At 48.7% G+C, this 9907-nt stretch overlaps 1 pseudogene, besides 1 other annotated feature; it reads left to right on the top strand.

Moving 5' to 3' along the window:
- PPIAP13 (peptidylprolyl isomerase A pseudogene 13) lies at window positions 4156–4894 on the top strand (annotated as a pseudogene).
- Window positions 8574–9074: an enhancer, noted in NCBI's record as "H3K4me1 hESC enhancer chr10:76844610-76845110 (GRCh37/hg19 assembly coordinates)". NCBI's record gives its function as "activates a minimal SCP1, AML or CMV promoter by ChIP-STARR-seq in naive H9 embryonic stem cells {active_cell/tissue: H9 hESC(naive)}" and the evidence as "EXISTENCE:reporter gene assay evidence [ECO:0000049][PMID:30033119]".

Below are 9907 nucleotides of genomic sequence, written 5' to 3'. Positions count from 1 at the left end.
CTCTGAGTTTCTTAGTTCTTATCTTGGCACAACATAAAATAAAACAATAAAGAAAGGCCCCCTCCCAGGTTCCTCACCTGTAAAATACATCATAAAAACCCAAGGTATTTATGGGGTTTAAATGGGCAGCTTTCCTCTACCTCTCTGGCTGCTGTTAGTGAGGTCTTGCCTCCTCTGTTTGTGTGTGTGTGTGTTTGGGTTTTCTGGTTGTTTTGAGACAGGGTCTCACTCTGTGGTCCAGGCTGGAGTGCAGTGGTGCAGTCAGCTCACTGCAGTCTTGATCCCCACACCCCACCTCGAGCAATCCTTTCATCTCAGCCTCCCAAGTAGCTGGGACCACAGGCGTGAGCCACCACACCCAGTTAATTTTAAATTTTTTTTGTAGAGATGAGGTCTCACTATGTTGTCCAGGCTGCTCTTGAACTCCTGGACTCAAGTGATTCTCCTGCTTCAGGCTTCCAAAGTGCTGGGATTACAGGTGTGAGCCACTGTGCCTGGCCCCTTGCCTCCTTTGGCTGGCCCTTCAATATCAAGGTTTCTCAGAGTTCCATCCTCTGCCTCCTCTCTCCTGCAGTGTTTCTGCTCTCTCAGTTCTCTGCAACACTTGCTCCCAATCCCACATTGCTGTTGGCTGCCTCAGGTGCTCTCTGGGTCTTTTACAGAGGATATACATATGTCTTAGGTGGAGGATGGTGGGAGGGCTGGTGCTGCCGTGTCTAGCTTAGTCACAGGGCCCAGCCCCCTCCTGGCAGGTGCAAACACCCCTGGGCTCCCCACCCTAGGAATGGAAGACTGTTCTCAATTCATCCTGGGGTTGATGGAGTCTATGATTCTCTGGAGCAGACAAACCCAGTTCCAGCTCAGTAGCCCCACCTGCCCATTCCCAATTCCCTTGGATCCCTCTTCCACCTGACAACTCAATGCTTGTTGCGGTTTCTTGCTCATGCACCATCAGTGGGACCCAAGATAGTGGCTCCAGAAGCCAGTCATCCCCATCTGAGTATGGGCAGCCTGCCCCTGTTGGCTGGGGTGGATGCACTGAGGCTGCGACAGAGCCACACTCTGGGCCTGGGGCTTGGGTTCCAGCAGGTCACCTTCTTGGGTCTCTGTGGATTGGGTGCAGAATCTGAGGCTGCAGGGGGAGATTGAAGGAAGCCATGAGGAGGCAGGTGGAGGGGAAGCCAAACATTCCCCAAGTACTGAGGAAATCGAGGCCGAGCTCCAGGCTGGTACCTCCTCTGGGATGCCTTCCTGCCTGCCACACTCACCCAGGGCAGCCTGTAATAACATATCTCCCTCTTCTATAGAGCAGCCTTGTGAAAGAAGTGGTGTATTGTGAGGAGCACCACTTTGGAGCCAGACTCTTTGGGTGCAAATCCTACTTCTGCCCCTTGTCAGATGTATGATCTCAATCTCTCCATACCTCAGTTTCCCTATCCATAACACAGGATTAATGACAGCCACCACATAGGATTGCTGTAAGGATTAAGTGGGGCATATAGAAAGTGCTTTGCACAATATGTGGTGAGTTCCCAGAAATGGTAGCTGTGGCCAGGTGCAGTGCTTCATGTCTGTAATCCCAGCACTTTGGGAGGCCAAGGCAGGAGGATCGCCTGAGCCCAAGAGTTCGAGACCAGCTTGGGCAACATGGCAAGACCCCATGTCATTTATAAAAATAATAAAATACATAATTAAATGATAGCTGTGATCAATCATCATCACAGCACATAGTACTGGGGCTCCAGTCTTGGACTGAAAGCTGGCAGCATTCTCAGTGCATTGAACGAATGGATGAATGAGTAAAAATTAGCTGACTTAAAGGCAACATGGTATCCTGGATTGGATCCTGGGTTTTTTTTGTTTGCTTTTTGTTTTGAGATGGAGTCTTGCTCTGTTGCCCAGACTGGAGTACAGTGGCACAATCTCGGCTCACTGCTCACTGCAAACTCCGCCTCCCAGGTTCAAGTGATTCTCCTGCCTCAGCCTTCTGAGTAGCTGGGATTACAGGTACCTGCCATCATGCCTGGCTATTTTTTGTATTTTTAGTAGGAACAGGGTTTCACTATGTTGGCCAGGCTGGTCTTGAACTCCTGACCTCAGGTGATCCGCCCACCTCGGCCTCCCAACGTGCTGGGATTCCAGGTGTGAGCCACTGCGCCTGGCATATTATTTATTTATTTTTTTTTTAGTAGAGACAGGGTTTCACCATGTTGGTCAGGCTGGTCTCCAACTTCTGACCTCAAATGATCTGCCTGCCTCAGCCTCCCAAAGTGCTGAGATTACGGGAGTGAGCCACCCCACCTGGACTTGGATTGGATCCTGGAACAGAAAAAGGACATAAGTGGAAAAACTGGTGAAATCTGAATAAAGTTTGTGGTTTAGTTAATAGTGTTATAGCAATGTTAATTTATTTGATAAAGGTAGCAAGGTTATGTAAGAAGCTAACATCAGAGAAAGCTGAGTGGATATACAAGAAATGTCTCTGCTATCTTTGTAAGTTTGCTGTAAATCTAAAATTATTTCAAAAATAAAAAAATTAGCTGACAATTACCAACTGCTTTGCATATGCCGGGCACTGTGCCAAGTTCTTTAGATACAAATTTTTTTTTTTCAAATTTCATCCATAATGTTTTATGTCTTTTGAAAACACATGAATCGGAGCCCAGGAGCTATAGGCTACAGTGAGCCAAACTGTGATTGCACCACTGCAGTCCAGCCTGGGCGACAGAGTGGGACCCTGTCTCTAAAAAGGAAAAAAAAATCAAGTATCAAATACAGCAAAATGTTAAGATTTGACCATATTTATGGAGTTGTGGGAATACAGGTGTTTATTATATGATTTTTTATATTTAAAAAAATTTCATCACTTTAAAAATTAAAAATAAATAAATCTACTAACTTCTAAATTAGGAACATCCTACTCTGTATTTAGGTTTGGAAACCATCAAGTCAAATGGATTTTAGGAAGTATTCTGGGCTGGGCGCAGTGGCTCACGCCTGTAATCCCAGCACTTTGGGAGGCTGAGGCAGGCAGATCACTTGAGGTCAAGAGTTGGAGACCAGCCTGGCCAACACGGTGAAACCCTATCTCTACTAAAAATACAAGAATTAGCGTGGTGTGGTGGTGCATATCTGTAGTTCCAGCTACTTGGGAGGCTGAGACACAAGAATCGCTTGAACCTGGGAGGAAGAGGCTGCAGTGAGCCAAGATTGCACCACTGTACTCCAGCCTGGGTGATAGAGCGAGACTCTGTCTCCAAAAACTAAATAAATAAAAATAAAACTTTAAAGAGGCTATATTACAAATAATCTTGCTTAAGAAAAAAGGTAATGATGACTCAGTTGGTAGTATTTAGATAAAGTAACCGTGTTGAAGAGAAGCTAAGCCAGTAAGTCATACTCTCCATCATTTCTTTCACTCCTCAATCCTGTAGGGTGGGTCGTGTGAACACCATTTTATGGGTGAGAACACAGGCCCAGGGAGATTAGGCCAGAACAGCAGCTAGTATTGATTGAGAACTTTATTATCTACCTGTGCCTTAGTCAGTCAGGCTAGGCCAATGACTCTGACAGCCCCAAAACCTGAGTGACCTAAACTCAGCAACACTTTATTGATTGATTGATATTTTTATTTTTTAGATAGCGACTCACTCTGTTGCCCAGGCTGGAGTCCAGTGGTACAATCACAGCTCACTGCAGCCTCGATTTTCTGGGCTCAAGGGGTCCTCCCACCTCAGCCTCCCAAGTAGTTGGGACCACAGGCACATGCCACCACGCCCAGCTGACTTTTTGTAGAGACGGGGTCTCCCTATGTTACCACTCTGTTCCCAAACTCCTGGACTCAAGCGATCCTCCTGCCTTGGCCTCCCAAAGTGCTGGGATGACAGGCATGAGCCACCACACCTGGCCAGGCCATGCTTTATTTTTTATTCAAACACAGGTAGATGGAGGGCCAGGAGAGTAAGCATGGAGGAATGGAGGCCAGGTCTACTACTGCCCCTCAAGTTCCATGGGCCAGAACCAGTCACATGGCCACACCTAACTGCAGGGGAAGCCAGGAAATAGTCTAGGGTGGTGCCCAAGAAGAAGAGGAAACTGCAGATATTGATGATCATGAGCTTTCTACAGCGGGCATTAAAAAAAACAAAAACAGGCTTTGCAGACGCCACAGCCACTGGCAGGAGCCCTGTACTATCAGCCATGGTTAACCCCACCATGTTCTTTGACATCGCCGCGAGCCCTTAGACTGTGTCTCCTTCGAGCTGTTTGCAGACAAAGTTTCAAAGACAGCAGAAAACTTTCGTGCTCTGAGCACTGGAGAGAAAGGATTTGGTTGTAAGGGTTCCTGCTTTCACAGAATTATTCCAGGGTTTATGTGTCAGGGTGGTGACTTCACATGCCATAATGGCACTGGTGGCAAGTCCATCTACTGGGAGAAATTTGATGATGAGAACTTCATCCTAAAGCATACAGGTCCTGGCATCTTATCCATGGCAAATGCTGGACCCAACACAAATGGTTCCCAGTTTTTCATCTGCACTGCCAAGACTAAGTGGTTGGATGGCAAGCATGTGGCCTTTGGCAAGGTGAAAGAAGGCATGAATATTGTGGAGGCCATGGAGGGTCCAGGAATGGCAAGACCAGCAAGAAGATCACCATTGCTGACTGTGGACAACTCTAATAAGTTTGACTTGTGTTTTATCTTAACCTCCAGACCATTCCTTCTGTAACTCAGGAGAGCATCCTTCCACCCAATTTGCTCGCAGTATCCTAGAATCTTTGTGCTCTCACTGCAGTTCCCTTTGGGTGCCATGTTTTCCTTGTTCCCTTCCATGCCCAGCTGGATTGCAGAGTTAAGTTTATGATTATGAAATAAAAACTAAATGCCAAACAAACAAACAAAATATATACATACACATACACACATGTATAATTTATATGTATAATTTTTACATTTGTATTAATTTAGAAATTATATATATGTATATACAATTAAACTCTCATAAACCCTAAGAGGTAGATAATGTTGTTATTCCCATTTTACAGATAAGAAAACTGAGGCTTAAAGAGCTTAAGTAAAGTTTCTCAGGTTGCTTAGCTAGCAGGGTAGAATCATACTACCAACTCAGTCAGTGAACCTGTGTTCTTAAACACTTCGTGAGCCTCCATTCTGGATTGGCCTTAGTGACTTGCTGGCCAGGAGAATGCAGCAGAAGCAGCATTCTGGGGCTTCCGAGGCTGTCATAAGACACTTTGCATCTTCTACCTGGGTCTCTTGGAATGTGCTCTCTGGGAATCCTGAGCCACCCTGTAGAAGTCGGCCTGTGCCCCACTCTGCCATGCTGGACTGGTCATGGGTAGGCCAACTGGTTGACAGCCTCACTGAGCCCAGACACTAGACATTTGTGTGACCCTTTCTTGTTTACTCCATACCAGCATATCTGCCAGCGAAATACCACAGAGTGACCTCTGTCAATGCCACATGGAACAGCAAAATTGTTTACTGAACCCTCCTGAATTACTGACCTAAAATGAGATATCAGAAAATGCTCTTGTTTGGAGTCACTAAGTTTTGGGGTAGTTTGTTACACATCAATGGGTAAGCAGCACAGGGGCAGAGCCAGGTCTGACCAGCAGCCCTGGCTTGTAGCCACTTCATTAGCCTCCAGAGGAGTGTGTGAGTGAGGAAGCGACAGGGCGGCTACATCCATCACCCCGGTGCTGAGTGCATGGAGATGAGAGGCCCTGTGTCTACAGGGGAATGAAGACGGCAATAGAGCTCCACTGGAGACCAGGAAAGATGTTAGGGGCCCAAGGGGGATATTGGTGGCAAAGGCCTTGAGATGGGGAGGGTGGAGAGGCTACCAGAAAGAGAACCTTTCCCCACTCCTCATCCACATCCCCAGCTCTTTCCTAAGCTCCCGCCATCCTACCTTCCTCCCAGGACAATAAACTCCAGCTGAGAGGCCCGAGACCTCCTTCCTGCCCTCGGCAAGGCCTCCTGGGGGTTCTGCTGGCCTCTAGCTCAGAGCCAGTCCTTGATGACTGCCTCCTCTGCTTTCTGCCCTGGGGTGGGGAGGGCAGTTGCAGTGTGGACTCCGTAACCAGGGAGGCCTTGGGGGAAACTTGGTTGGGGAAAACTCAAGGGGAACTGGCCTACCCCATGACATCCTCCCCAGGTACTACCCTCCCTGCCAAGCAGGAGGAACCACCACCATTATTCTCCTTTGCCTCAGATCACTCTGCTTTTCTCAGCTCATTCCCCCAGGTGTCTGCATTCATCTCCTCATCCGTGCTTCTTGATCCGTATGATGTCAGGTCAGCCTGGTCTCTCTCCTTGGGAGCTGCTAGCATTTCCCCTCCTCTGAGATTTTCTGCGCTCCGGCTGCTACTTCAGAGCCTTCCATCAGCCCATTCTTCCCCCACCCCCACCCTCCCGCTCCCTCCTCAGAACCCTTTCCCTTTCACACCTGTGCAGGTGTTTGGGCTTTGCCTCCTGGACCCTCTGAGCCTGTGATGGGGCTCCTGGGACCCATGACTATGACCCCGTCAGACTAGGCTTGTGGGCTCCAGCTTAGTGATAGTGATTGCTAGGACCATCCTGACTTGGATAGTGATTGTGAGGGAGGGCCCAGGATCAGGGGCACACTTTAAAAGGAGTGCTGGAGAAGGCATCACTTCATTTGAGTGATGAACTTGCAGGCAGCAGTGCTAAGGGGGAAGCTTGGGAGTGGGGTGAAGAGGCTCTTCTGGTTCCTTTGCAGCCATGCCACATGAATATGAATGAGCACTCTGTCCAGCCTGTGCAAGGCACCCATCGTGCCAGCACCCCTTTCTGAGGGATTCCTGGCCTCACAAACTCTTTACAGGGTGGATCTGCTGTCCTAGCCAGAGACGGCTGCATTAGGATGAGCCCTGTTAAAAAAAAAAAAATTGGTGATGCTTGTTAAAGCACAGAAAGGAAGACTTCAGGACCACCGAGATGGGTATGGGGACCACAACAGTGGGATTTTGCAGTGGGAAGAAGAGATTGGGTTCAACTCTGAATACGGCATGGACAAGTGGGACTTTATAGACAAGGAGAGGGGTAGAGTTAGTGGAAGGAAAATTACCAAGAGGAAATATCAGGGATAAGAGGGATTTTGGCTAAACTAGCCTAATAGGATTTTTGCTGAAAACAGGCCAGGATGGCTCGATATCACCTGAAGAAGGGTGGAGGAGGAGAAACCTGATCAGATATGCAAGGGAGCGGGGGCAGGGAGGAGTTCCTGATAAACTGACTTAGCAGGGTTGTTGCTAAAACTCAATTTTACCAGGAAGTGCACAGGTGGGCCGAGAAGAAGGTTCAGGAGCCTGACTGAAGTTTGGTCAAGCCAAGAATCTTTGTCTGGAGCTGGATAGCGACTTCTACTTGCCTCCCAATATTTATTCTCCCCTTTACTTTGGCAAAGAGCCTCGAGTGTTATCTGGGTGGCCATGAACCCAGCTAAAGTAGAACATCTCCCAGCCTCCTTGCAGGTAAGTGTGACCAAATGACTACATTCTGGCAGATGAAACGTAAGTGGAATTCTTGTGTGGAACTTGTGAAAAGTCTCTTTGAAAGGGAAAGACTAGGCCGAGGCGGGTAGATCACCTGAGGTCAGGAGTTCAAGACCAGCCTGGCGAACATGATGAAACCCTGTCTCCACCAAAAACACAAAAATTAGCCGGCCATGGTGGTGGGCACCTGTAGTCCCAGCTACTAGGGAGGCTGAGGCAGAAGAATCACTTGAATCCTGGAGGGGGAGGTTGCAGTGAGCTGAGATGGTGCCACTGCACTCCAGCCTGGGCGACAGAGGGAGACTCCATCTCAAAAAAAAAGAAAAAAATCACCTCCGTGGTGCTGCCTGGAGTGTGAATGTGAGCGTGGGGCTCCCTGCTTGTCCTGAACCGCCTCTGCAGTCCAGGACGAGCGAGAGAGAAATGATTATCTTGAGAGAGAAATAAGCAAAGTTTATAATTTCTGAGAGAGAAATGATTATCTTGTTTAAGCCACTATTTTTGAAGTCTCCATTACTTGCCCCAAACCTGGTCTTAACTGTTCTGTCTCCTGACCCACAGGTAGCCAGAGGCCTGTGAGGCCCTTTCATGTAAGAGCTGCCATTGACAGGACGGGGAATTGCCCACCCAGTGAGGCGCTTTCTGGGAGAGTTTGAATGGGAGACAGAGTCAGAGGTGGCAGGTTGGGTTGGAAGGTGCCTGGAGAGAGAGATCAGGAAGCAGGAGCCAGAAGGCAGCAGAAGTCACCAAGAACCAGAGGCAGGCAGCTGCAGCCACAGGAACCTCAGAGGCAAAGCAGAGGAGAGTCTCCGTAACCAGAGCACTGGGAGGCAGAGCAGTCTGCACTTGAGAACCCATGCGGAGCCGGCCAGGGAGCCATGGCCATGCCGGGAGGCACTCCCATTGCCCAGCAGAGTCCTTGCTCTTAAGTGTGTTACTCATGAACCTCTGAGGTCACCTGAGTGGGGGTCCACCTTGTGGCATCTGAAAGAAACTCATCATTCACTTCTTGAACCTTGATAGGACCATGGGCACCACCTGAAGAGAGGGAGCACCTTTGGGAGGATGGCGGGTCGATGGATCCAGGACTGTCCCAGAAATGGGCACCACACAGAGGTATGTGGCCGATCTCACTCACTCTCCATCCAGCGCTGTCCCTCTTGAGAAGCAGCCACATGTCTCCAGCAAGGAGATCGTAACACACCCCGCCACCCACGCACCGCCACCACCAAGCTGCGCCGCTGCCTGGGGCAGGAACTGAAAGGTAGAAAGAACCGGGCCTTGGACACGGGTGGACTCGGGTTTTCGCTGCGACTCCTCCTGCGATCAGGAGCTACGACCAGCTGTGTGAACCTGAGCAGATATTGAACTCCTCTGAGCCTCAGGTTCCTCAAGTGTCAAAGTGGGAAGGATTAACAGCCTTGCGCAGCTCTGCTGGGAGGGTGGAAATAACAAAGCAGCCCAGTGCCTGGCACATAGTAGGCGCTCAGTACAAGCTTGAGTATCTCTCCTTCTGCTGAGACAATCAAGAGCACAGAAGGAAGACCTGTATCTCCATCCTTCCTGAGTGGGCGGTGGGAGGGCTGGTAACACAGACCCCAAGAGAGACGCTGTCTTTTCCTGCAGCTTCTCAGAACAGCAGTGGGGGGAGGTGCGTGAGTGAGGCAGGAGGACATAACAGGGCCATTTGAGTCTAAAAGACCCTCATCTGGCTTTACTTCACATTCTTTAAATATATGTATATAATTTACAAACTTTTGCCAAGCAGTTTCACAGAGATAACAGGCTCTGCATTCTATTATAGATTTCGTAACTATGGTTGTCAACTTCCATTAGGATATTAGGCTGTCATGACAAGCACAGCCCTCCTACGTAACACTCAGATTCTCCAGCTACTGCAGTATTTGCTTAATGAAAAGATTCTTGCAGGCTCTCCAGAATCCCTACTGATCTTTATTCTGATCCTTAATTTAGAGAAAAGGAGAGAAAAGTAAAATGCCTTACATGAAACCTCCTCACTTTTTCAACAAAGACGCCGGTGTGGTCTGGCCAAAGTATATGCATGTTCATACATGCGCACACACACACACACGCATGCATACACACCTGAAGCAGGCTTATGAGAAAAATCTGGAATGTCTTGGAATTTTTTTTTCAATTACAGCTCAATAAAAATGTCCTCATAAAATCCTAGGTAAGCAATTGCTTTGCCGACAGGATGGGGCTACCCACATCCCAGGGAAGCCTGCCTGGTGTGATTGGGGGAGGAAGGGCAGAAAACCAGAGTTGATTCCTCCATCCTCCCCCCAACTCCACCCCCCTCACACACAACAGACACAATGGGCTCCTCTAAGGAACAGAATAGCCC

Source organism: Homo sapiens, chromosome 10 (genome assembly GCF_000001405.40).
Source record: "Homo sapiens chromosome 10, GRCh38.p14 Primary Assembly".
Lineage (NCBI taxonomy): Eukaryota > Metazoa > Chordata > Mammalia > Primates > Hominidae > Homo > Homo sapiens.
This window is presented reverse-complemented; position numbering and strand designations above follow the sequence as displayed.